This window comes from Homo sapiens, chromosome 17 (assembly GCF_000001405.40).
Source record: "Homo sapiens chromosome 17, GRCh38.p14 Primary Assembly".
NCBI classification, from domain to species: domain Eukaryota; kingdom Metazoa; phylum Chordata; class Mammalia; order Primates; family Hominidae; genus Homo; species Homo sapiens.
The window spans coordinates 78,858,748-78,884,973 of NC_000017.11; the positions used below are offsets into that span (position 1 = coordinate 78,858,748).

At 51.4% G+C, this 26,226-nt stretch overlaps 1 protein-coding gene and 1 long non-coding RNA gene across 2 annotated transcripts in view, besides 8 other annotated features; one reads left to right on the plus strand and one right to left on the minus strand.

The window, feature by feature from the left end:
- Positions 1 to 26,226, minus strand: part of TIMP2 (TIMP metallopeptidase inhibitor 2) — a 72,411-nt gene that overhangs the window by 5,771 nt on the left and 40,414 nt on the right. The window contains exons 2-3 of the mRNA NM_003255.5: positions 15,072 to 15,172; positions 12,151 to 12,259 (exon numbers count right to left, since the gene is read on the minus strand). Coding sequence (NP_003246.1) covers positions 12,151 to 12,259; positions 15,072 to 15,172 — 210 coding nt within the window. The remainder of the gene's footprint in view (positions 1 to 12,150; positions 12,260 to 15,071; positions 15,173 to 26,226) is intronic.
- Positions 2,351 to 2,551: a silencer, noted in NCBI's record as "peak3020 fragment used in MPRA reporter construct". NCBI's record gives its function as "represses an SCP1 promoter by STARR-seq MPRAs in K562 erythroleukemia cells {active_cell/tissue: K562}" and the evidence as "EXISTENCE:reporter gene assay evidence [ECO:0000049][PMID:32103011]".
- LOC124904068 (uncharacterized) lies at positions 3,478 to 9,483 on the plus strand. Its single transcript, XR_007065924.1, has 2 exons — positions 3,478 to 3,680; positions 9,227 to 9,483. It is a non-coding gene; the product is annotated as an uncharacterized LOC124904068 (long non-coding RNA).
- Positions 3,560 to 3,854: an enhancer, noted in NCBI's record as "tiled region #3779; HepG2 Activating DNase matched - State 18:Pol2, and K562 Activating DNase unmatched - State 5:Enh". NCBI's record gives its function as "activates a minimal TATA promoter and a strong SV40 promoter by Sharpr-MPRA in HepG2 and K562 cells {active_cell/tissue: HepG2 | K562}" and the evidence as "EXISTENCE:reporter gene assay evidence [ECO:0000049][PMID:27701403]".
- Positions 5,206 to 5,406: a silencer, noted in NCBI's record as "peak3021 fragment used in MPRA reporter construct". NCBI's record gives its function as "represses an SCP1 promoter by STARR-seq MPRAs in K562 erythroleukemia cells {active_cell/tissue: K562}" and the evidence as "EXISTENCE:reporter gene assay evidence [ECO:0000049][PMID:32103011]".
- Positions 14,936 to 15,436: an enhancer, noted in NCBI's record as "H3K4me1 hESC enhancer chr17:76869765-76870265 (GRCh37/hg19 assembly coordinates)". NCBI's record gives its function as "activates a minimal SCP1, AML or CMV promoter by ChIP-STARR-seq in naive H9 embryonic stem cells {active_cell/tissue: H9 hESC(naive)}" and the evidence as "EXISTENCE:reporter gene assay evidence [ECO:0000049][PMID:30033119]".
- Positions 20,126 to 21,019: an enhancer, noted in NCBI's record as "H3K27ac-H3K4me1 hESC enhancer chr17:76874955-76875848 (GRCh37/hg19 assembly coordinates)". NCBI's record gives its function as "activates a minimal SCP1, AML or CMV promoter by ChIP-STARR-seq in primed H9 embryonic stem cells {active_cell/tissue: H9 hESC(primed)}" and the evidence as "EXISTENCE:reporter gene assay evidence [ECO:0000049][PMID:30033119]".
- Positions 21,020 to 21,911: an enhancer, noted in NCBI's record as "H3K27ac-H3K4me1 hESC enhancer chr17:76875849-76876740 (GRCh37/hg19 assembly coordinates)". NCBI's record gives its function as "activates a minimal SCP1, AML or CMV promoter by ChIP-STARR-seq in primed H9 embryonic stem cells {active_cell/tissue: H9 hESC(primed)}" and the evidence as "EXISTENCE:reporter gene assay evidence [ECO:0000049][PMID:30033119]".
- Positions 22,706 to 23,206: an enhancer, noted in NCBI's record as "H3K4me1 hESC enhancer chr17:76877535-76878035 (GRCh37/hg19 assembly coordinates)". NCBI's record gives its function as "activates a minimal SCP1, AML or CMV promoter by ChIP-STARR-seq in naive H9 embryonic stem cells {active_cell/tissue: H9 hESC(naive)}" and the evidence as "EXISTENCE:reporter gene assay evidence [ECO:0000049][PMID:30033119]".
- Positions 25,060 to 25,354: an enhancer, noted in NCBI's record as "identical tiled regions #5911 and #8204; HepG2 Activating DNase unmatched - State 1:Tss". NCBI's record gives its function as "activates a minimal TATA promoter and a strong SV40 promoter by Sharpr-MPRA in HepG2 cells {active_cell/tissue: HepG2}" and the evidence as "EXISTENCE:reporter gene assay evidence [ECO:0000049][PMID:27701403]".

Here is a 26,226-nt window from a genome sequence, read left to right on the forward strand (position 1 = left end):
CTTCTGCGCTCAAGCAATACCCCCACTTTGGCCTCCCAAAGTGTTAGGATTATAGGCATGAGCCACCACGCCTGGCCCCAATATTCTTTTAAATTAAATTTTATTCTAAAAAAAGGATAGAGACGATGTTTCACCATGTTGCCCAGGCTGGTCTTGAACTGAGCTTAAGTGATCCTCCCACCTTGACTTCCCAAAGTGCTGGGATTACAGGTGTGAGCCACTGCGCCCGGCCAATATTCTCTTCTATGTGCATCTTCACACATAAAACGTCATGCAGTATGTAGATTATATTGTTTCCTGTTTTGTTTTTCACAAAATATTAATTCACAGGTGCTTCTCCCATTTGAGTTTAAACTTATAATTCTGCATTTTTCCATTATGAAGAGCCAAAGCATGGAATTTTTGAAAATTAGGAATCTGCTCTGAATTCCCTTCATCAGGCATGATGAGCTGTGGCTTCTTTCTGTACTTCCGGCTCCTGACTCAGCTGCCTCCTTCCTTTGCTGAAGATACTACATTGGCAATAGCCTTGGCGTTTTACAAGCAGGAGGAAAAGAACAAAGCAGTGTGTTCCAGTGGCTGACAGAACCTAATGACAGCTATGGAAGTCATTTAAAAACTCATCCCTCAGGCCAGGTGCGATGGCTCATGCCTGTAATCCTAGCACTTTGGGAGGCTGAGGTGGGCGGATCACTTGAGGTCAGGAGTTCGAGACCAGCCTGGCCAACATGGCGAAACCCCGTCTCTACTAAAAATACAAAAAGAAATAGCCAGGCGTGGTGATGCATGCCTGTAATCCCAGCTACTCAGGAGACTGAGGCAGGAGGATCGCTTGAACCCGGGAGGTGGAGGTTGCAGTGAGCCGAGATTGCAAACTGCACTCCAGCCTGGGCGACAGAGACAGACTCCATCTCAAAAAAGAAAATAAATAAAAAATAAATAAAATAAAAACTAATCTTTCAGGCAGGGCATGGTGGCTCATGGCTGTAATCCCAGTACTTTGGGAGGCTGAGGTAGGGACATCACTCGAGGTCAGGCATTTGCGACTAGTCTGGCCAACATGGTGAAACCCCGTCTCTACTACACATACAAAAATTAGCTGGGCATGGTCGTGGGTACCTGTAATCCCAGCTACTCGGGAGGCTGAGGCAGGAGAATCGCTTGAACCCAGTGGGCAGAGGTTACAGCGAGAAGAGGTCATGCCACTACATTCCAGCCTCAGTGACAAGAGCAAAACTCCATCTCAAATAAATACATAAAATAAAAAAAATACAAAAAATTAGCCGGGTGTGGTGGCGGGTGCCTGTAGTCCCAGCTACTCAGGAGGCTGAGGCAGGAGAATCACTTGAACCCAGGAGGTGGAGGTTGCAGTGAGTCAAGATCAAGCCACTGCACTCCAGCCTGGGTGACAGAGTAAGACTCTGTCTTCAAAACAAAAAAAACAAAAACAAAAACAAAAAAAACCTCATCCCTCCTGCTACAACAGCCCCTTGTGAAGAGACACAGGTGTCAGTGATGAGCACCCACGCCTGGCAGAGACTGATGGGCAATTCCTTGAGAAGCAGACAGAGCCTCAGGCTGTGCCCTAAGCACTTTTGTTTGACAAAGTTTCAGCGCATCTGACTTAATGATCTCAGGCACAGCACCAGCCTCAGAGGATCCACTAATAGAAACACAGCCCAGCGAAGGACTAATGCAGCTCATCGACTGCACCCCTGTGCCATGGAAATGTGGATGGCTTGCCTGGGGCTCCAAGCAGACACAAGTGGCCTCCATTGTCCTGGGCACGGGGCACTCATTGTGCCAGCTCCCTGGGTTTGAATTCTTATGCTCGCACTTCCTGTTCTAGCTGTTCCTTTATCTTCGGGTCCTTTTCTCCGTTTAGACTTATGTGACATTCCAGGTGAGGAACAGGATGAGAAAGTAGAATTACTCCTGTAACATTTATTCCAAATCCTATAACTTCATAAGGTAAATGTTTGGGTGGCCTTAAACAATTCAAAACTAGCTGGGCATGGTGGCTCACACCTGTAATCCCAGCACTTTAGGAGGCCAGGGTGGGCAGATCACTTGAGGTCAGGAGTTCGAGACCAACCTGGCCAACACGGTGAAACCCCGTCTCTACTAAAAATATAAGAATTAGCTGGGGGTGGTGGTGCATGCCTGTAATCCCAGCTACTCAGGAGGCTGAGGCAGGAGAATCGCTTGAACCCGGGAGGTGGAAGTTACAAAGAGCCAAGATCGCGCCATTGCACTCCAGCCTGGGCAACAGAGCAAGACTCCGTCTCAAAAAAAAAAAAAATCAAAATTAGATATATAACTTTCCCCACTAGACCTATAGCTATTTTCTGTGAGTTCAGAATAGATCAGGAAGGAGCAAAACAGACAGATGGAAAGGAACCCATTCCTGTATCCTGGTTGATTCTGGCATTTGGCGCCCATACAGGTATACCGCAGCCCCTTCCCTGTCCAGCCTGGGCACCTGCCACTACAGACAGGCTGAAGCTCTATCCTGGCTTCCCAGCTTCTATGGTGATTTCCACTGTATGTATCACTTGACCAGCATTAACTCCCACTTTCTATTAGATTTGCCTTTCTTCTGCATCTCGCTCCTTAATCAGAGAGTACGTATAGAGAGTAAGGGCTGTGTCTTAACCCTTTTGTTTCCACAGTTCCCTGCACATAGTAATTGCTCAATAAGTTTACTGATGAGACACACCCGTGCTTGTTCTAATGATATGCTTCACATTCTGCCTTTTCCTGCCATCTTCTCTTTTGGCCTTTTACCACCAATTCTGGCTTCCTCAGGAGGTAAGCAATGGCAGGAAGAAGAGATGAAGTGAAAATTGTATTTTTTCTTTTTTTTTTTTTTGGAGACGGAGTCTTGCTCTGTCACCGAGGCTGGAGTGCAGCGGTGCCATCTCGACTCACTGGAACCTCTGCCTCCCAGGTTCAAGCATTCTCCTGCCTTAGCCTCCCAAAAAATTGGGATTACAGGTATGCGCCACCACCCATGGCTAATCTTTGTATTTTTTAGTAGAGACACGGTTTCACCATGTTGGCTGGGCTGGTCTTGAACTCCTGACTTCAAGTGATCCACTGCGCCCAGCCAAAAAATTGTATCTTTTCAATGGTCCTAGTTATTGGGCTAACATGAACGTGGCTGTCATGTATAAATGTGAAGAGAGGACCGCCTCTGGTCTGATTAAGACTTGGTTGGGTGTACACACCGTGAGCATCTGCAGCGATGTTCTACTTATGTCTGTCTCCGAGAAAAGCGAGGCATGAGTCTGGGTTACAGAAAACCGGGAATTAAAATTTGTAACGAAGGGTTGTATGTTTATTTTTCCTTTTGGAGAAGAGGAATGTAGAAGAAAATTACAGGGCCAACTCTGTATGAGTCTCCTGGTGCCCGACTCGACACGTGAGACTGAGTCATCGGTCCAGGAGGAGGTGGCCCGCTCAGGCCATGCGGTCACTCACTGGCCACAGCCAGCCAGAGCTGAGTGGTTCACTGTGCCCTGTGATTTCTGGTTAGCCCCTGGATAAAGGGTCTATCCTGACTCGAGGCAAACTGGATCTAGGTTCCTGCCTCGGGAAATAAATGCCAGATTCAATGTGGAGTCATCTGACCAAGGCTGGGAAAGAAGTCAGATGAGAGAGGTTCCTCTCGCCATGAGGTGAGTCAGCCACTGTGGCCATTAACAGCTTCACCCCTGCTCCCCCTCCCAGGGAGAGGAGGATGAAGTAATGCAGCCTCATTGGTGGAGAAGATACACAGCCAGCTGGCCACTGGGCAGGTCTCACAATCTTTGTTGATTTTTAGAAACAGGAAGTCCATGTGCAGATTTGTTACATGGGTATATTGTGTGTCCCTGAGGTTTGGCATATGAACGGATCCATCGCCCAGGTAGTGGGCATAGCGCCCAATAGGTAGAATTTTTTCAGCCCTTATCCTGCTTCCTCCCTCCCACCTCCTTGTATTCCCCAGTGTCTCTTGTTCACATTTTTATGACCATGTGTACCCAATGTTTAGCTCCCACTTTTAAGTGAGAACATGTGGTATTTGGTTTTCTGTTTTTGCACTAGTTCCCTTAGGATAATGGTTTCCAGCTGCACTCATGTGGCTGCAAAGGACATGATTTCCCTCCTTTTCACGGCTGCGTAGTATTCCGTAGTATATATACACCACATTTCTTTATCCAAGTCACCATTGATGAGCACTTGGGTTGATTCTGTGTCTTTGCTATTGCAGATAGTGCGGTAATGAACATACGGGCGCAGTGCCGTTGAACGATTTATTTTCCTTTGGGTATACACCCAGCAGTGGGATTGCTGGGTCAAATGCTAGTTGCTTTCTCAGTTCTTTGAGAAATCTACAAAGTGTGCCCCACAGTGGGTGAACTCGTTTACATTCCCACCAACAGCGCATAAGCGTTCCTAAGCGTTCCCTTTACTCCATAGCCTTGCCAACATTGGTTTATTTTTATTTTTTATTTATTTTTTTTGGGTGGGGGGACAGTCTTGCTCTGTCGCCCAGGCTAGAGTGCAGTGGCACAATCTTGGCTCACTGCAACTTCCGCCTCCCGGGTTCAAGTGATTCTCCTGCCCCAGCCTCCCAAGTAGCTGGGACTGCAGGCGCCCGCCACCATGCCTGGCTAATTTTTTGTATTTTTAGTAGAGACGGGATTTCACTGTGTTAGCCAGGATGGTCTCAATCTCCTGACCTCATGATCCACTCGCCTCAGCCTCTCAAAGTGCTGGGATCACAGGCGTCAGCCACTGCGCTGGGCTGTTTTTAACTTTTTAACTAAAGCTCTTCAAAATCTTTCAATGTCAGCTTTCTACCGAGGATCCCGCCACAGGTCCAGGGAGCAATGCCCTTTCAGCAGAGCCTTCACGCTCATTCTGCTACAGGCTACCCTAGCCCTCCTTAGACCTTCAGTATGACTCTCTGTATCGACTCACCAGCTTTTCATGCAGTGCTGTGCTGCGTGTATGGGTCACTGTCATCTCCAGTGTAAGACATAAAATTATCAGCTACCCTTGAGTGGGGCCTGACCAAGATAACCAGCATCTCTGTGATCATCATTTCTGGTCTCCTACTCCCACTTTCATCCTCTCAACAACCCCTCGTGGGGCAGATACTACTGTCATCATCCCCCATGTACGGATCGGCATGGGAGGCACAGACAGGTAAAGTTACTTGGCCAAGGACATTAACGAGTCAGGTGTCAGAGCACACATTCGAACTCGAGCAGGTGTTTTCAGAGCCTTCACTCGGGCATCTCATTGTATTTCTTCACATCTTTTCATGACACTTAGTCGTTATCTTTTTCTCTTCTAAAACAGAGACAGGGTCCCGCCCTGCCACCTGGGCTAGAGTGCAGTGGTGCAGTCCTAGCTCACTGCAGCCTCAAATGCCTGAGCTCAAGAGATCTTCCTGCCTCAGCCTCCCAAGTAGCTAGGACTACAGGTGCACATGACCACACCCAGCTCATCTCTTCTTTCCTTCCTTCCTTCCTTCTTCTTCCCTCCCTCCTTTCTTCCCTGCCTCTCTCCCTCTCTCCCTGACTCCCTTCACTCCCTCCCTCCTTCCCTTCCTCCCTTCCTCCATGCCTCCCTCCCCCTTCCTCCCTCCCTTCCTTCCTTCCTTCCTTCCTCCCTTCCTGTTTTGTAGAGATAGGGTCTTGCTATATCGTCCAGGCTGATCTTGAACTCCTAACCTGAAGCCATCCTCCTGCCTCAGCCTCCCAAAATGCTAGGATTACAGGTGTGAGCCACTATGGTCAGCCCATTTCCTTATTTTCTTTATGCAATAAACTGTTTGCACTTGGCACCTTTAGTTCTGTGTCCTCATCAAAACCTCGTGCCTCCTCCTTGAGATACTAAGTAGTATCTGAGTTAAAAAGTTAATGGAAATGTTAACAATTTGAAAACATATATAGAATTCAACTTAGAAGAGTATTACATATTTTGGAAACTTTAAAATGTATGCACATAAAAAGAAATAAAATCTACCAGCCGGGTGCAGTGGTTCAAGCCTGTAATCTCAGCACTTTGGGAAGCCAAGGCAGGCGGATCACCTGAGGTCAGGAGTTCAAGACCAGCCTGACCAACATGATGAAACCCCGTCTCTACTAAAAAAATACAAAAATTAGCTGGGCGTGGTGGTGCATGCCTGTAACCTCAGCTACTCAGGAGGCTGAGGCAGGAAAATTGCTTGAACCTGGGGGGCGGAAGTTGCAGTGAGCCAAGATCGCGCCACTGCACTCCAGCCTGGGCTTTGTTGCCTCCGTCTCATAAATAAATAAAATAAAATAAAATCTGACCCATGCTACAACATGGATGAACTTGAGGACATTATGCTAAGTGCAATGCTTCAGCTATGGAAGGAGGTATGACTCTACCTGTACGAGGTGTCTAGAATGGGCAAATTCATGGAGACGAAGTAGAAAGGTGGTTGTCAGGGGCTGGGCAAACAGAGGAACAGGGAATTATTGGTTAATGGGGAGAGAGTTTCAGTTTGGGATGATGAAAAACTTCTAGAAATAGATAGTGATAGTTACACAACACTGTGAATGTACTTAATGCCGCCCAGGTGCGGTGGCTCACACCTGTAATCCCAGCACTTTGGGAGGCCGAGGTGGGCGGATCACCTGAGGTCAGGAGTTCGAGACCAGCCTGGCCAACACAGAGAAATCCCGTCTCTACTAAAAATACAAAATTAGCCAGGCGTGGTGGCACATGCCTGTAATCCCTGCTACTCGGAAGGCTGAGGCAGGAGAATCACTTGAACCCGGGAGGCAGAGGTTGTGGTGAGTTGAGACCACGCCATTGCACTCCAGCCTGGGCAACAAGACAGAAACTCTGTCTCAAAAAAAAAAAAAAAAAATTAGCTGGGCGTGGTGTTGGGCACCTGTAATCCCAGCTACTTGGGAGGCTGAGGCAGGAGAACTGCTTGAACCCGGGAGGCAGAGATTGCAGTGACCCGAGATTGTGCCACTGCACTCCAGCCTGGGCAACAGAGAGAGACTCCATCTCGAACAAAAACAAAAACAAACAGAGAGCTTCAGCATGGGCGAGGATTCAGCTGGGTATGTTTGGACACCGGTGCTGGCTCAGACCAAGGTCACTTTTGCACCCAAGAGTCCTTCCGCAGCGCTGCAGTTTGGCCAGAAAGCCCCTAGAGGGCAGTGTGACGAAACTGAGCTGGGACGGCTGGGACTTACTTTAAAGGCTGTTCCCTGTGGATAGGAACAAACAGGATGCAGAAAACTGGAAGTAAGTTCCCTGCACCACGGGGGATTCTGTCTCCTTTCTTGTCTCTCCAGATTTTATTTTTCTGATGACAAACGTAATAAATGCCATAATTTTAAAGGTTTAATACAGGAAAGAACTGAAAAGGAGACACAGCAGATGCTGACACGCTGGGAAATTTCCTCCCGTGCTCTGTTCTGTGCACAGCTGCAGCAGCCCCCGAATGCCACACTGCAGACCATGCCTCTGCCACGCGCCACCGTGCGTGCTGTGCGGCCACCCCAGCTCTCCTGCCTCCTCTGTGTTTTTTTTGAGGGCATTAGTTAGCTGGTAAGATCTTTGCACCACAGGTGGTTTTTGTCCCTCTACCCTTCTCCATTTGATTTTTTTTTTCTTATTGTAAAAATCATAGATAATACTGGGCGTGTAAAATGGTGCAGCTGCTTTGGAAAACGGTCTGCCAGCTCCTCAAATGGTTAAACCTAAAGTCACCCAACCCCTCCCCACCCCCGACCCCACCAATTCCACTGCCAGGGATACACCCAGGAAAAATGAGAACAGGTCCCTGCAAAATCTCACACACCAATGTTCATTGCAGTATTTGTCACAATGGCCAAACGGTGGCAACAACCCAAATGCACATCAAATGATGACCGGATAAACAAAACGTGGTCTATCCATACAGTGGAATACTCAGTCATAGAAAGGAATGAAATTCTGATACACACTGTAACATGGATGACCCTTGGAAACACGAAAGAAGCCGGTTACACAGGGTCACACGTATGATTCCGTTCCCAGGAAAGCCCAGCATAGAGAAATCTATAGAGACGGGAAGTATACCAGTGGCTGCTTAGGGCTGGGGGAGGGGGAGGGGAGTCAGGAGGGTAATAGCTCAAGAATACAGGATTTCTTTTTGACTGTAGTGATGGTTGCAGAACTCTGTGACATACTAAAACCACTGAATTGTAGGCCGGGCGCGGTGGCTCACGCCTGTAATCCCAGCACTTTGGAAGGCCTAGGCGGGCAGATCACCTGAAGTCAGGAGTTCAAGACCAGCCTGGCCAACATGGTGAAACCCCGTATCTACTAAAAATACAAAAATTAGCCAGGTATGGGGGCACACATCTGTAATCCCAGCTACTTGGGTGGCTGAGGCACGAGAATTGCCCAGGAGGCAGAGGTTGCTGTGAGCCAAGATCACACCACTGCATTCCAGCCTGGGCAACAGAGGGAGACTCTGTCTTGGAATGAGAATAAGAAAAGTGCTCATAATAAAACATTTTAGGAAGTCCAGAAATGCATCTTAAAAGGGGGGGAAGTCTCCTATTATCCCCAAGGAGAGGGATAGAAGTCTTGATGACCGAGATACCCAGCAAAGCAGGAGCTGTGAGCATGTTAAGGAAGGGAGGGAAGATCTTACCCAAGGGGAGATAACAGGAGTCTTCCCTGCCCAACTCACAGCCCTGCATCTTCCTCCCTGCAATGACCTCCTCCCCATCCATAGGCAAGGACACCACCTTCTTCCAGCAGCAAGTCTGTCTAGACCCTTGGACCTGTGAGAGTCTCTCTTCCTTTTGTACCTTCTTTTTTTTTTTTTTTTTTTGAGATGGAGTCTCACTCTGTCGCCCAGACTGGAGTGCAGTGGCACGATCTCGGCTCACTACAAGTTCCGCCTCCCGGGTTCACGCCATTCTCCTGCCTCAGCCTCTTGAGTAGCTGGGACTACAGGCGCCCGCCACCACGCCCGGCTAATTTTTTTTTTGTATTTTCAGTGGAAACGGGGTTTCACTGTGTTAGCCAGGATGGTCTCAATCTCCTGACCTCATGATCTGCCCGTCTCGGCCTCCCAAAGTGCTAGGATTACAGGCGTGAGCCACCTCGCCCGGCCCCTTTTGCACCTTCTAAGCATTCACTTACTATTCACAATTCTCCACAAGCAAAATCTATTTTCTTTCTTTTCCAGTCTCCCCATTCGGAACATCTGTGTGCTCCATGATGACCAGAGCCAAGGATCTCACCGTGGGAATCTCCCATTGTCTCTAACACGGGGCTGGGCACCTAACAGGTGCTCACTAAGCACACATTGATTTTTAGAAGGGAAAAAAGTACATGTCACCTAAACCAGAAGAAAATCCCCCAATCATGGATATTTGGATTTGGAGTATATGTTTATGATTACAGTTGCCTTTTGGAACAAACTATAGTACCAGGCTAGGGGAATTGTCTTGTCTCTTCTTTCTTTTCTCTTTTTTTTTTGTGAGATGGGGTCTTGCTCAGTCACCCAGGCTGGAGTACAGTGGCGTGATCTCAGCTTGCTGCAATCTCTGCCTCCTGGGTTCAAATGATTCTCATGCCTCAGCCTCCTGAGTAGCTGGGACTACAGGCACTTGCCACCACGCCCAGCTAATTTTTGTATTTTTAGTACAGACAGGGTTTTACCATGTTGGCAAGGCTGGTCTTGAACTCCTGACCTCAAGCAATCCGCCCGCCTCAGCCTCCTACATTGCTGGGATTACAGCCATGAGCCACTGCACCAGGCCTTGTCTATTCTTTTTTTCTTAAGTTTGTGATCAGATTCCTACTTCCCCAGGGAGGAGGGGAATAATGTTCCTTAACTGGCTGAGTCAGTGCCATGCTAGACTGCGGCTGCCGGCCACATGTGGCTGTTTACATTTATACTAAAATTACTTGAAATGAAATAAAATTTAAAATGCAGCTCCTCGGCTGCACTAGCCATATCTCGGGTGCTCATGAGCCACAAGGCTGGGGGCTGCTGGACTGGATGGTGCAGAGACCGCTTCCATCACTGCAGAAAGCTCTTTGAGCCCAGTGGTTCTCAAGCAGGGGCAATCTACCCCACCTCCCCTGGGCACATGTGGCAATGTCCAGAGACCCCGCGACTGGAGCGGGTGCTGTGGCATGTAGAGGGTGGGGGCCAGGGATGCAGCTGAATATCCTATAATGCATAAGGTAGGCCCCCACAACAAAGAATGGTCCATCCCCAAATGTTAATAGTGCTGAGATTGAGAATCCTGTCCTGGCCTCCTGTGGTTCAGCCTAGCTGGGCAAGCAGAGGAGGCCGTAGAAGGAAGTAAGGGAAAATAATTTTACTTAGGAATAAAAATATAGGCTGGGCACAGTGGCTCACGCCTATAATCCCAGTACTTTGGGAGGCTGAGGCAGGAGGATTGCTTGAGCCTCGGAGTTCAAGACCAGCCTGGGCAACATGGTGAGACTTCTTTACCAAAAAATAAAAAAATTAGCTGGGTGTGGTGGCACACACCTGTAGTTGATCTCAGCACTTTGGGAGGCTGAGGCGAGAGGATCACTTGACCCCAGGAGATCGAGGTTGCAGTGAGTCATGATCGCACTCCAGCCTGGGAAACAGAGCAAGACTTTGTCTCAAAAAAAAAAAAAACAAACCAAAAAACTATAAACAAAGAGATGCAACAATAAACAAAATGTGCTACATTCATACAATGAAATATTATTCATCCTTAAAAAGTAAGGACATTTTGGGCCGGGTGTGGTGGCTCACGCCTGTAATCCCAACACTTTGGGAGGCTGAGGTGGGCGGATCACCTGAGGTCAGAAGTTGGAGACCAGCCTGGTCAACGTGGTGAAACCCTGTCTGTACTAAAAATACAAAAAAAAATTAGCCAGGTGTGGTGGCGTGTGCCTATAATCCCAGCTACTTGAGAGGCTGAGGCAGGAGAATCGCTTGAACCTGGGAAGCGGAGGTTGCAGTGAGCCGAGATAGTGCCATTGCACCCCAGCCTGGGAAATAGAGCGAGACTCTGTCTCAAAAACAAAAAAAAGAGTAAGGAAATTCTGATGTATGCTGTAACGTGAACGAACCTTGAAAACATGATGCTACTGAAATAAGCCAGACAGAGAGGACAAACACTGCAGGGTTCCACCCATGTGAGGCCCCTGGAGTAGTCAAATCCACAGAGACAGAAAGTAAAATGGAGGTGGGCCAAGGCTGAGGAAGAGAGAAGGGGGAGTTAGTGTTTAACGGGGACGGAGTTTTGGTTTGGGAAGATGTGGAGACAGATGGTGGTGATGGTTGCACAATAGCGAATGTATCTAATGCCACTGAAGTGTACACTTGAAAATGGTTGGCCGGGCGCGGTGGCTCGCGCCTGTAATCCTGCCACTTTGGGAGGCCGAGGTGGGTGGATCACCTGAGGTCAGGAGTTCGAGACCAGCCTGACCAACACGGTAGAACCCCATCTCTACTAAAAATACAAAAATTAGCTGGGCGTGGTGGCGTGTGCCTGTAATCCCAACTACTCGGGAGGCTGAGGCAGGAGAATCGCTTGAACCCAGGAGGTGGAGGTTGCAGTAAGCCAAGATCGCACCACTGCACTCCAGCCTGGGCGACAGAGCGACACTCTGTCTCAAAAAAAAAGAAAGAAAGAAAGAAAGAAAGAAAGAAAATGGTTAATTAACATGGCTACATTTTGTTACGTATTATTTTACCACAATAAAAAAAGGAGACAGATGAATGAATAAGTCAAGCAGGTCTCGTGCATAGTATCCACAGATGTTACGCGAGCTTTTGGCCCTCCCGACGGCAGAAAGGGTTTCTCTGCCCTGCATGTCTCCAGCATCCCGCACTCGCCTCCCTTTTAGGAACAAAAGGCAAAAATGCTCCCTTTTTTTTGTCCACCAATCTCAAATTTCCCAGGAAATTGGCAGGTAGTGAACATTCACTAGCATTCTCTGACGGGAAGTGGCCGAGAGGGCTCCGTACCCTGCCTCACTGTTCCTCAGCTACTCCGCCTCCCCACCCCCCGAGCCTGGGAAACGAGCCCTGGACCGCGTCTAGGAACAGCCCCACTTCTGTGCCAGCCTCCGGCTGATGGCCCCACTCATACACACCTGCAATGAGATATTCCTTCTTTCCTCCAACGTCCAGCGAGACCCCACACACTGCCGAGGAGGGGGCCGTGTAGATAAACTCTATATCCTTCTCAGGCCCTTTGAACATCTGGAAAGACAAGGAGGAGGACATGTAAGCAGAGGGAGGCCACACAGTTGGTGAATTCCGTTCCCATCCAGAACACCCTGGGCGGCACAACCTGTAGCTGGGGTACAGCCAGCACCCAAGAGGACCAGGAAGTGCAAATACATGGGTTAGGAAAAGACCGTTCCAGCTGGGCTCAGGGCTCATGGCTGTAGTCCCAGCACTTTGGGAGGCTGAGGTGGGCAGGTCGCTTGAGGTCAGGAGTTTGAGACCAGCCTGGCCAACGTAGCAAAACCCTGTTTCTACTAAAAATACAAAAATTAGCTGAGCATGGTGGCAAGCGCCTGTAATCCCAGCTATGTGGGAGGCTGAGGCAGGAGAATCGCTTGAACCTGCGAGGTGGAGGTTGCAGTGAGCTGAGATGGCGCCACTGTACTCCTACCTGTATGACAGAGTAAGACTCCGTCAAAAAAAAAAAAAAAAAAAAAGAAAAGAAAAAGACTTCTTATAGCAAAGTGATTCTTTGGAGTCACTCAACTTTTAGTGTGGCAGATCACAGCAGGTGAGCACAAGACTCATCTGTGCCGGGCGAAGTGGCTCACACCAGTAATCCCAGCACTTTGGGAGGCCGAGGCAGGCAGATCACGAGGTCAGAAGATCGACACCATCCTGGCTAACATGGTGAAACCCTGTCTCTACTAAAAATACAGAAATTTAGCTGGGCGTGGTGGCGGGCGCCTGTAGTCCCAGCTACTCGGGAGGCTGAGGCAGGAGAATGGCGTGAACCCAGGAGGCGGAGCTTGCAGTGAGCCATGATCGTGCCACTGCGCTCCAGCCTGGGAGACAGCAAGACTCCATCTCAAAAAAAAAAAAAAAGACTGTCATCTGGAGCATGACATCCTCAGACAACACCTCTGTTCCCTCACCCCCCACCCCAAAGAGGTCATTTCTGAATCTATGGGGAGGGGCTTTTGTACCTCCACGTGACTCTGGACCACCATGAAGGACCATGACTTTTGCATATTTCCAGGAATTTTTTATTTTTTTGAGATAGGGTCTCACTCTGTTGCTCAGGCTGGGGCTGCAACCTCAACTTCCCAGGCTCAAGTGATCCTCCCACCTCAGCCTCCCGAGTAGCTGGGACTATAGGCGCATGCCACCATGCTTGGCTTTTTTTTTTTTTTAATTAGCAGAGACGAGGTCTCGCTCTATTACCCAGGCTGGTCTCAAACTCCTGAGCTCAAGCAATCCTCCTGCCTCGGCCTCCCAAAGTTCTGGGATTACAGGCATAAGTCACTCCACCCAACCTATATTTCCAGGAATTTTGGTCAAATATTGTCTACTTGATGGCAATGAGAGCAGAGAGGCACCTCAGGAATTAGGACATAACTCCATGGGCCAGAAGAGTTTGCTTTCTCAACATGTGATTTACTCACAGCCTTTCAGGAACGCACCTGCTGCCCAGGTGAAGAATGGCATTTTCTCAGCACTCAGGGAGGCTGTTTTTTTCCCCCCGAAGAGTTTCAATAAGCAAACCCAAATGGAATGGAAGCATGCCTGATGTCATGACAAATGGCTTGAGAGTGACACTCCAGCTTGTACCAGGAAAGGTTATGTTGATGCTGTACTAAATGACATCATTTGCCAAAAGGCTAAAAGCATTTCCTGGGCACTGGCACTGGCCTTTTCACGACCCCTTTATGAGGTCGTAAGAGCAGATCCTCTTTCCTGCTTCGTAAAGAAAGAGACTCAGGCACTGAGAGACTAGGTCATCCCCTTAAACTGACATACATGTGATGATGAAGCATTCCACTGACCTTCTGATAACATTGATTTTCAGCTACTTTTTTTTTTTTCTTTTTTTGAGATGGAGTTTCGCTCTTGTCGCACAGGCTGGAATGCAGTGGTGCAATCTCAGCTCACGGCAACCTCTGCCTCCCAGGTTTAAGTGTTCTCCTGCCTCAGCCTCCCAAGTAGCTGGGATCACAGGCACTCGCCACCACGCCCAGCTAATTTTTGTATTTTTAGTAGATACATGGGGTTTCTCCATGTTGGCCAGGCTGGTCTTGAACTCCTGACTTCAGGTGATCCACTCACCTGGGACTATACTCATGAGACACTGTGCCTGGTTTACTTTTTATTTTTAATGACAAAATTAAATATCGATGACTACAACTACCACCATATCACACGGCTGTCCCTCCACCTGCGACATGAATTTTCGTCTCTCTTACAGACCATGTTAGTTACTGTCAATGACAATAGCATCACCTCTCCTGCCCCAGGCCAGGCCCTGCCCTCCCTGCCCTCCCTGCCACATATTTTTTTTTTTTTTTTTTAATACAAGCTCTCACTCTGTCACCCAGGCTGGAATACAGTGGTGAGATGTCTCACTGCAACCTCTGCCTCCTGGGCTTAAGCGATTCTCCCACCTCAGCCTCCCGAATAGCTGGGACCACAGGTGGGCGCTACCATGCCTGGCTGGTTTTTTGTAGAGATGGATTTTCACCATGTTGCCCAGACTGGTCTTGAACTCCTGAGCTCAAGTGATCCGCCCACCTCGGCCTCCCGAAGTGCTGGGATTACAGGTGTGAGCCGCAACGCCCGGACAGGTTTCTGAAGGAATTGAATTTGTGGGGAGCATGTCATCTCCACACAACTTTTCAGGCATTCGAGGATTAAGGGAAATCGGATCTATTTGCAGCTTGATGACCTCATCCTCTGCTCTAGTCCACAGGTGGCCAGATCGTGTTCCAGGGACCCAGGCTCTCTGCCAACCCCAACACCCCACAGCTGTGCCCACAGTGCAGCCCGGGATGCCGGCAGCCACTATTACCTTTATCTGCTTGATCTCATACTGGATCCTCTTGATAGGGTTGCCATAAATGTCGTTTCCAGAGTCCACTTCCTTCTCACTGACCGCTTTGGCCCTGATCACTGCAAAACACAAGACACAGAGGTGAGGAGAGTTCCTGAAACACGCTCCTGGGGCTAAGGAGAGGGATAAGACGTCCAGGCCTGCGGGAGGTGCTGGGGGGTTACAGACAGCAGCAAGGTGCGAGACGGGCAAGGGGCATGGTGATCCCAGCCCCCGGCATGGCGTCTCCTCCTCCAGGCTGAGAGATGATGCCCAGCCTCCTCCTCCTCCTTCCACGATTCTTCAACAAGAATCCCTTCTTTGTTGACAGGGGCCCAAGCCAGAAGCCCAGAGTCCCTTGTGACCAAGGCAGTTTCTGTAACAGTGGGAGGCAGTCATTGATTTGACTGAAGCTCATCTGTTGATATCATGCTTGAGTGCTTTTGGCTTTTTTTTTCCTTCTCTCCAGTGGGTACTCACTGGTGGCTGGGGCAAGCAGGTACCCCATGGAACTGACCCACAATCCCACACATTCCGCGAAGGATGGGACATTTCCCCACCCTCCAGCCACGGCCTATTGGAAACAAGCTTTTCTGGGCTGAGGGCAGAGGGGGAGTTATCCACCTTAAAGGGGCCTTAAACGTACCCGGCATATTTAGCTTTGGGGGTCTTACATCTGGAAAGGTCTATCCAGCTCTTCTCATCTTTCCTGACCTGGAAAATGTTCTATGAGTAATTTTTGTTGTTGTTGTTATTGAGATGGAGTCTCGCGCTGTTGCCCAGGCTGGAGTGCAGTGGCACCGTTTTGGCTCACTGCAACCTCTATCTCCCAGGTTCAAGTGATTCTCCTGCCTCAGCCTCTCAAGTAGCTGGGATTACAGGCGTCTGTCACCACGCCCGGTTAATTTTTTTTTTTTTTCAGACGGAGTCTCACTCTGTCGTCCAGGCTAGAGTGCAGTGGCATGATCTTGGCTCACTGCAACTTCTGCCTCCTGGGTTCAAGAAATTCTCCTGCCTCAGCTTCTCAAGTAGCTCTGATTATAGGCAGCTGCCACCACACCCAGCTAATTTTTGTATTTTTAGTAGAGAAAGCGTTTCGCCATGTTGGCCAGGCTGGTCTTGAGCTCCTGACCTCAGGTGATCCACCTGCCTCAGCCTCCCAAAGTGCTGGGATTATAGGCATGAGCTACAGTGCCCAACCTTAATTTTTGTATTTTTAGTAGAGACAGGGTTTCATCATGTTGGCCAGGCTGTTCTCGAACTCCTGACTTCAAATGATCCACCTGCTTCGGCCTCCCAAAGTGCTGAGATTACAGGCGTGAGCCACTGCGCCCAGCCTGGGTGATTCTTTACAGTAACACAGAGTCTATCAGGGGCACAACAGGGGCAGGGGCAGGAAGTTTCACCCAAAGGAGACATCGGCAGGCACAGCTGGCAGACCCAAGGGACAGATGCTGAGGAAGGACAAACAGAAGGAAAGAGGATCCCAACTAAGCCCCAACCAAACAGAAAGGAGTTGGGGAAGAGGCTGGGCTGGGGCAATTCCAGAATATTCTGGAGCCTGAGGTTGCTGACAGGCCATGCAACACAGGGCTTTCTCCTAGCAATTAAGCCAGGATTCTGTTCCACTCCTGGTAACCTGAGGACAAGCAGATCAGTAGTTCATGCTGTCACTTGGGCAGGGTTGGGTAGAGCCCTCCCTTTCTTAATTTCAAGGCCATTAGTTGGTGACATGGTCTGTTTTAATGGCTTTAAAAGCTTTGCCCTCCCAAACTCAGCTCTTCAGGGTCACTCTGGGTAAGTGTTATGTTACGGTGGATATGAGCAAAACAGAGAGGTAAGGAGCAGACCACGCCAGGCTCCAGGCAGCCTCCTAGCCCCAGCCCCAGCCCCACCCCACGTGGTCGGCTCAAATCTCTTAGAACCCCTTAGGCAGGGCTGTCTCTTCCCACAGGGGCAAGGAGGCTCAGGCGTGTGGGTGCTCCATCTGTGTCCATCCCCCTGGGCCCCACCAATGCTCTCTGGATCCCAGGCTGGCATCAGAGTCCCACACCACAGCCCCACTGCCTCGCCTGGGCACAAACCCCTTTCTTCTTTCTTCTTCTGTTGGAGCTGAGTCATGACTGGCCAAGGCCACAGGTTCCTGTTTCCCAGGCTAATCCATGCCTCATCCTGAAAAGCCACATCTAGGAAATGTCTCCCGGCAGGCCACTCCAGAACAGACGGCTTTGCCCTGACGGCCCCCTATTTCCAGTGCCCTCCTAACCATCCTCTCATCCACCGCAACCAGCTGTCTTTTTTTATTCACGTTCGTTTCTGCTCAAACATCATCCTTGGCTGCCCCCTGCCCTCCCCTAAAATATGAGCGCCTTTGCAACCTGAAGTCAGCCAGGGGCCTCAGCTGCTGTGCCCAACACCCCCCACCCATGCTCCCACTATTCTACCACTTCATAATACTTGTCTGCCCTGAACACGCCCAGGTGCATCCACACCTCTGAACAGACAAGTTTCTTTCTTTCTTTTTTTTTTAGACAGAGTCTTGCTCTGTCATCCCCACCCCTGCTAGGCTGGAGTGCAGTGGCGCAATCTCAGCCATCTCCCAGGTTCAAATGACTCTCCTGCCTTAGCTTCCCAGGTAGCTGGGATTACAGGTGGGCACCACCATGCCTGGCTAATTACCATATATATTTTTTTGAGACGGAGTTTCACTTTTGTCACCCAGGCTGGAGTGCAATGGCTTGATCTCAGCTCACTGCAACCTCCACCTCCCAGGTTCAAGCAATTCTCCTGCCTCAGCCTCCTGAGTAGCTGGGGTTACAGGTAACTGCCACCTTGCCAGGCTAATTTTTTTTTTTTTTGGTATTTTTAGTAGAGACAGGGTTTTAGCATGTTGGCCAGGCTGGTCTCGAACTCCTGACCTCAAGTGATCCGCCCACTTTGGCCTCCCAAAGTGCTGGGATTACAGGTGTGAGCCACCACACCCAGCCTGAACAGGCAAGTTTCTTCCGCCCCAAATGCCATCTCCCCTCTCTGCCTGGAGAACTTTTCTTCATTCTTCAAGACCCAGCTAAAATAGCCCTTTTCTGTCTTCCTCTGGGAAATCCTGTCCTTCTGCAGCACTTGGTATATTCCCCATCTCTTTTCCATCCTGCTGTCAGTTCCTGCACACCTGTCTGCTCAGGGCCCTGGGAGGTCCTAACAGGTTGAGGCTAGATTCTGACTGCAGAACAGTTGGTGCTCACTAACTCTTTGCCAGATGGAGCTGAGATGACGCTGACAACTTTGGGCTGGTGGCCCAGGTGCAGTTTGTCCTTGGCTCTCTTGCTCCCTGCCTAATCTATATACCTTACGACAATGCTGCACCAAAAATGTTTATGCAAATTAGTCAATGTGCCAGATTAACTTGGTCAAAGTTTGCTCTTCATGTAGCAGAGTCACCAGCTCACAAGCAAACCAGGGCCAGGCACGGTGGCTCACTCCTATAATCCCAGCACTTCGGGAGGCCGAGGCGGGCGGATCACTTGAGGTCAGGAGTTTGAGACCAGCCTAGCCAACATGGTGAAACCCCATCTCTACAAAAAATACAAAAATCCCAGCCACTTGGGAGGCTGAGGCAGGAGAATCGCTTGAACCCAGGAGGTGAAAGTTGCAGTGAGCTGAGATCATGCCACTGCACTCCAGCCTGGGCAACAGAGTGAGACTCCGTCTTTTAAAAAAAGAAAAGAAAGAAAAGGAAAAAAAGCAAGCCAGCAGAATCCAAAGGAATCAACAGTTCCAGTAGGAGCAGCAAGCCGGCCTTTATTACAGTCTGCTGAATTCTGTATGTTATTTTGGAAATTTCTGGAGCTGCTTTTCTTTTCTTTCTTTCTTTTTTTTTTTTTTGAGATGGAGTCTAGCTCTGTCATCCAGGCTGGAGTGCAATGGTGCAATCTTGGCCCACTGCAACCTCCGCCTCCTGGGTTCAAGCAATTCTCCTGCCTCAGCCTCCCAAGTAGCTGGGATTACAGGCACGCGCCACCATGCCCGGCTAATTTTTTGTATTTATTTTAGTAGAGACGGGGTTTCACCATGCTGGCCAGGATGGTCTTGAACTCCTGACCTCGTGATCCGCCTGCCTCGGCCTCCCAACGTGCTGGGATTACAGGCATGAGCTACCGCGCCCGGCCTTGGAGCTGCCTTTCAATGGTCCACTAAGCCGCACAATGCTTAACGCACAATAGGCACTCAACAAGCATGTCACTGGAGTTCAGAAAATAAGCAAAGATTACTTCAAAACGGCCAAAATGTTGCATCCTACCATGGGCATTGAGGTTCACATGCTGTTCTCTTACAAAAACGCCTAAGGCTCCCAGGTGGCAGCTGGGCACTTATTTGAAGGAGGCAGCAAGAGACAGAGATCCTGCATTCACCCCTGGATGGCTGCGTGATCTTTGAGAAGCTCCTTGACTTCACTGAGCCACAGTTGTTCACACCTAAGACAGAGACGATGACAACAGTCTTGACACTTCACAAGGTCGTGGTGACTGTTAGAGGGGCTGGTGTGGAGGCTGCGGTGCCCGGGAACTAATGCGTGTACAGTTCAGGACCACGAGCATCGCATAGACAAGCAGGGCGAATTCTCCCGCTCCCGTGGGTGAGGGATTGGGACGGTGGCATCATGCCACTCAGGTACACAGACCCGGTCCTGGTCAGCAGGCCACAGACTCTCGATTTGATGCAGCTTCCCAGCGTGCTAGCTTTGCCTGGGGGCTGCAGATTACACACTTTCCTTCTTTAAAGTGTCAGAAAAGAGGAGGCTGGTCAAATCAAGGGTCCAGGGTAGCCACGTGGGGTTAGGACTAGAAAGTGAACTGGCGAGGAGGCCGCCAGATGCCTGCAGGGAAGTGGGGGTGAGGGGCAGGGAAGTGGGGGTGAGGGGCCTGGAGGAGCAGAGCCTGAGGGCATCTCCATCTCCCCTGGGCTGCTTTAGTCTGCCCCTGGGGAACAGAATTCAGATTCTTCAGGGTCCCTTTAAATTGGGGGTGGGCACCTCCTCCCCCACTTTGCAAAATGAGAAATTACATGAAAGAAGGAAAATGGGAATCAAGAGAGGCAAAGAAGGACCAGTTCCACGGCAACCTTCCCCAAAGCACCAGCACGCCGCAGACATGAAGGAGAGGGGCCAGCTGACAGCTCTGATCGGTGCACACCAGTTGGCATAGCGGGATCTGCACCGCTGACCTGCTCAGAGCAGCGGGTACCTGTCGGGGGTTGTTGCCCAGAGGTGACAGCAGGTGAAGAGAGGGTACAGGGTGAATCCTGCATACAGCAGGCCTTGCCTGGGAGGAGCATCCAATCCAGGCAAGATGACAGACGATGGATAGGAACACAGAGAAGGAGAGTTTCCAATGCCCAGTGGTGGACAGAGGAGGAGGGAGAGAGAGCTCTCCGGAATACATTTCCATGCCAATGGCAATGGTCCGCACTCTGAGCTCCAGGATGGACCACCAGTTCTGTAGGGGAAAGCAGGCCACTTCAAAAGAGGGAGGGCCTCTCCGAGTCCCAGGCCATGTGAAGAACAGGGCTGGGGAAAGCGAAGAGACATAAGGAATCTGGGAAGAAATGAAAATTGTGGCACAGACACGTTTACTGAACACCTACTGGGTGCTGGGCCTGGTGTTAGGCACTGGGGTGGGTGTCAGCCCATCTCCTGTCCATGCCCCCGAGAGGGGCTGCTCTGCTCCTCTGCCCCTTCCCCAAGGAGCCAGAGGCAGCTGCGAGAGGGGGAGTCTTTATAAAGACTCTCGTTCTAACTGCCCTGAGCCCAGAAACCACGGCCTCTCCCTGGGCGTCTCAGATTTCGTTTTTCCTTCTTTCCCTTCTGCTGTGAACACAACATCTGGGTTTGAGATCAAGGGTGATACACTGGCTGATGAATTCACCGCCAGATGCCGGCTACTGGAATGTACAACCGTCGGCTGAATTCAAAGCACACGCAACTGCAGGGTCCCCACCCCCACCCCTCCAGCCCAGGACACCATATGATGTCACTTCCCCCCTGCAAAAACAATCCCGAGCGCACCCGCCAGAGTGGGGACGGAAAAGAACCGGGTGGGCGGAAAACCAAGGTCGCGGGAGACGATCCAAAGAGGATGGGCTACGGTCAGACTTCGACAGTCACAACCGCCCCTGGAAAACCATCAGAGGCCGGACCGGCTGCTGCTGCTCTCGGAGGGGAGCAGACAGTGAAGGGGGCTTGCTGGAGAACCTGGTGTCACCAGCATGTGCCAGGGCCAAGGGCTGGCCGGAGGGGCGGCACTCTCCACAGACTCCAACCACGCCAGCCCCAGGCAGAGACGCCACGGCTTCTGTGGCACGGTCCTCCCTTGTTCTCTCTCCTCGGTGTCCCCTCTGCTGCCATCAACACGTGGGTCCTGCGTCCTCACGTCCCCTTCATACACCCACCAACATCTTTCCAATCCTCCTGTGTCCACAGAAGTACTATGGAAGTTCCTGCGGAAAATAAGAACAAGCCATGCCCACAATTGGGGGAGGGAGACAGACCCCAAAAGAAAATTGCCTCGAAAGGCCGGGTGCAGTGGCTCACACTTGTAATCCCAGCACTTGGGAGGCCAAGGTGGATGGGTTGCTTGAAGCTAGGAGTTCAAGACCAGCCTGAGCAACATAGCAATACCTCATCTATAAAAAACAAAATACAAAAAACAAAAACAAAAAAAAACAAAAATTAGCTGGGCGTGGTGGCATCTGCCTATAGTCCCAGCTACTCAGGAGAATTGTATGAACTAGATGTTCAAGGCTGCAGTGAGCTATGAATGCACCACTGCACCTCGGTCCTGGGTGAAAGAACCAGACCCTGCCTTTGAAAGAAAAAGAAAATTGCCTGTAAGAAATGTACTTATTCCACACTCATTGAATTCTCTTTATTATCTTGCCAGGGGCCCAACTGCTCGCTGGAGGAATCCCACATGCTATATGTATAAATATACCATATAGAACATTTTCCACTTGAGCCACTCTGCCGGGCTCCCAGGCCCAAGTTTGGGACAGGCAAACCGGTGGATATCAACACCCAACGTCTAGACCACTCACAGCCTCTCCCCGGGGCACTCCACACACTGTAACAGCATAGCGCCTGTCTCGGCTACGGGACGTGCTCAGGCAGCGGGAGAAGGTGGCCCACTGTCCCTCAAAGTCACCTGTCTGCCCAGACGAGGTGCAGGGATCCCTGGGACTCAGAAACACATTCGGCTGCTAAATACAAAGTCAAAACCCGGCCCGATCATCTGCACCTTGTGTGCACACTGACTCGGACTGGGAGGGTTTGCTCAGTATCACTGGAGGGCACTGGCCCCTCCCAGCCGTCCACCCTCTTCTGCAGGCTCCAGCTTTCACCTGGGGAGGGGCGCCCATAGGACCAGCACTGGCAGGGAAAGCGCCTCCTTCCCCTCTGTCCTGTCCTGCTTATGGCCCAGCGGAGAACGCCAAGGGGTCCCCATGTTCTCAACATGGGTCATTCCTGGGAGTCGGGTGGGGGCTTCACACATGTGCCAAAGACCCTACTGGCCCACATCACTAGTGGGTGGGGGGCATTCTGATGCTGCAGCTGGGTCAGAGTCAGCCCAGAGCACCCACAGTGGCAATGAAGACCAGTGGCCACTGCATGCATCCCAGGGGCCAGCCCTGGAGGACTCCACACTGCGTAGACGCAAACGCGGTAACTGCAGGCCGGAGCCGCAGACGTCTTCTGAGCGTCATTTGGTTCATTTGGCTCTGGGTGGAATTACATGCCAGTCATTTCAGAGGAATTATCAAAGAAACCATTTTCTCTCCCGGATGAAACCCAACCTCCACTTACTCCTGGGGAGGATCCAATGGCAGTTGCAGGTGGACTCAGCTTTGTTCTTTCACTGGGAAAGGACTGTGACGTTCCACGCCTTGTCTAAACTCTCCAGAAAAGTGGGGTGCCATGAGTGCCAATGTCCACACCCTCAAATCACACAGTTAGTAACGCCCTTGCTAACATCTGTAACTATAACTTGGCGTTGCCATTGGGGATGAGAGTCTCTTGTCCCTTTTGGGTGGATGTAATGACACCATATGGCTGGTCAACCTGGCAGGGGCTCCATATCCTCTTTTTTTTTTGAGATAGAGTTTCGCTCTTGTCGCCCAGGCTGGAATGCAATGGCACGACGTTGGCTCACTGCAACCTCGGCCTCCTGGGTTCAAGCGATTCTCCTGCCTCAGCCTCTGGAGTAGCTGGGATTACAGGTGCCCGCCACCATGCCCGGCTGATTTTTATTTTGTGTATTTTTAGTAGAGATGGGGTTTCACCATGTTGGCCAGGCTGGTCTTGAACTCCTGACCTCACGTGATCCACCCATCTTGGCCTCCCAGAGTGCTGGGATTACAGGCGTGAGCCACCTGGCCCGGCCTGACCATTTTGATTAATATGTCTAAAGCGCCAGCTGAGGGTGTACCAGGGGCCCCTCTGCCCCAGCCACCCACAAGATCAGAGTCTGAAAAGGGAGGTGAAGCCCACTTTCCCCACTTCTGGTGTCTACACCCTCAGCTCAGGACAGATGTCCAGTAACACAGCTGTGGCCCTGCCCTGCAACTGCTGTAATAAATGACTATTTTTCATGGCCCTGCTCTCAGATCGCTGTGGGATCCCTAAATGTTTGTGTGTAACTAATCTCGTTGGGCTTCAGGATCACAGTAAAGACAGCTTAGAAACATGGAAGCTCTCCATTCGGGCAGCACCTCCTTCTTTTAGCAGGATGGGGCCGACCTCGCCAGCTGGAGCAGCAGAAGTGGCCACAAACGCCACCAGGGATGGCAGACGGTGATCCAGGAAGGGGCTGTGCTCACAAGGACCCCAGACCTGCTCTAGTCCTCTAGGTTTGGAGGCCACGCCTCTCCCAACGGAACTGCCCAGGGGCACGGGGCAAGGCTGAGCAGCCAGGAAGTGTCACAAGTGTTGTGAGGTGACAGTGAGGGTTAGCTGGTCCAGCTCACCTTCAGCCTCTGGCCTCAAGTGACACAGCCGGGTGCCCTTGGTGGGCAGTCAGAGGGTCTCCCCCGGGCACTGGGCTCTGCCCTTCCTCGGCCCCTTCATGCCAGCCCCTTTTGGTCAGCGGGTGCGGCAGACCTCCTCCAAATTCACTCCTTTTAGGGAAATGAGCAGAAAAGAGGGCCGTGACTTGGTAATTAAAAACAGCCCTGTGGTGCTGGGCAGGAACCAGGCTCTTCCCGCCCTGCAGCTGCTGTGGAGGCCAGACCCACCCTCAGGTCCTCCAACCTCCTCGGCCCCCGGAAGCCAGCAACGGGGCCTTCTGGGAAGCAGGAAAGACCTCAGCAGAGGGGGCACCATAGGAGCACACTGGACATCCGTCCCCAGTTGAGGGTGTAGACACCGGAAGTGAAGACATGGGGCACCACCTCCCTTTCCAGACTCTGACCTTGAGAGTTTGTGGGTGGCTGGGACAGAGAGGCCCCAGGTCCACCCTCAGTGGTGACTTGCAGCCCTGGTGCAGGGCGGGACCGTGACATCCAGGGTGAGGACAGAGGACTTGGCCAGCATGACTCAGGCCAGGGTGAAAAACGCCTGGAATGACAACTACTCAGAAAAGATATTTTGTTGGGGAGGGTGCGGAGGAGGGTGGGGCAGAGAAGGTAACAGGGTGCACAACAGAGATCAGGGAACAGAAGCGCAGCCTCAGCCGGGGCCACACCGCCTGCCAGCGGGCACCTGGGGGTGCTCCAGGCCCTGCCGCCCCAGGGAATGCTCCCTCCCCGGCTGCCTGAGATTCTAGTGCACGTGAGCTGCTGGCCACTGGGTGCCCGTCTCCATGGAGACCAGCTCTCCCATCTCACTTCCTGCCCATTCGTTTTGGCTCCTCTTGGGAAACAGCATCTATCAGAGCACCTCAGCCACGCAGAGCAAAGCCGCCCTCTCTGCCCAGCCTTCCTGCCGCCCTCCCCAACCCCAGGGCCCTGCCCCCTCCCTCTGCAGCTCTGGGAGGACCTCGGGGCCCACGTCCCGCTGCCCTCCCTTTCCCTGGTGGGCCAGCAGGTCTCATGCCAGAGCCTCCGGCTCGGCCCTTCCCATTCACGTGCTGCTGAATCACTTGAAAACAATGCACCAGACCCCGGGAGGATTTGCTGAGAACAGTGCGGCTTTGTGGAGGGAAGTGCAGCTCTGCATTTTCTCCGTCAAGACCCACGGAACAGCCAAGCTCAGCCCTGCAAACCCTAAGCCAGAGCCGGAGCAGGGACAGGAGCAGGACCGTGCAGGGCAGGAGGCAGAGGGAGCCTGGAGAGGCACCGAGGAAACCCCTACCCATCCCTGCAACCCGCCCCCCTACAACAGATGAGCAGGGGGCCAGGGTGACAACTCCGGAGCCAGGGGCAGCAGCAGATTCTCTCCTCGCACTGTTGCTGGGGGGCTGCGACAGCGCGAGGTGGGCAGGGCACTGTTCCTCCCAAGCCGATCCATTTTTGGGGACGAACGTGAGGTCCGGGCCCAGGCTTCAGGCTCATTGGCACTGACTGTCTTTGAGCCCTGGCTGTTCGTCGGACCCAGGGTCATGTGGCCTGTGGGCTGAGCCTGACTTGCTGCATTTCTCAGGAGACAGAAACAGGGACATGAAGGACATGAAGGCTGGAATCCCAGGGTCCACACACCCAGGAAAGAATGAAAGCAGGGGGGCTGAGGTCCCCACTCCCCTTTCCCTTCCTCCTCAGCACAGCTTCCCAAACAAGCCCCATGCTGAGCGGCGCCCCCAGACTCCCTAAGCTTGTCCTGGGGGGTGTGCATCTGTGTAGCCCCGTCTCCAGCTGGAGGACTTGGCCTGGGCTGTCACAGCAGCTGCAAGTGCAGGCTGCACCCCAGCCCTCCGCCCCGTGTCTTCTTGGAGATCTCGATATAACCCCCTTGCCATTTGCACGAACTGGAAGAATGACCACAGGTCAGGGAGGGTGCTCTACCCACCCGTCCACTCTAAAAACCCTATTTCCTTTTGTCTTATGTGTCGGAGATCCTGGTCACACAGGGCTTGAAGGGGAAGGGAGATTTGTGCGGAGAGAAGATGGACGCCCCAGGGCAGCTCTCAGGGTGGGGTCACATCCAAAGCCC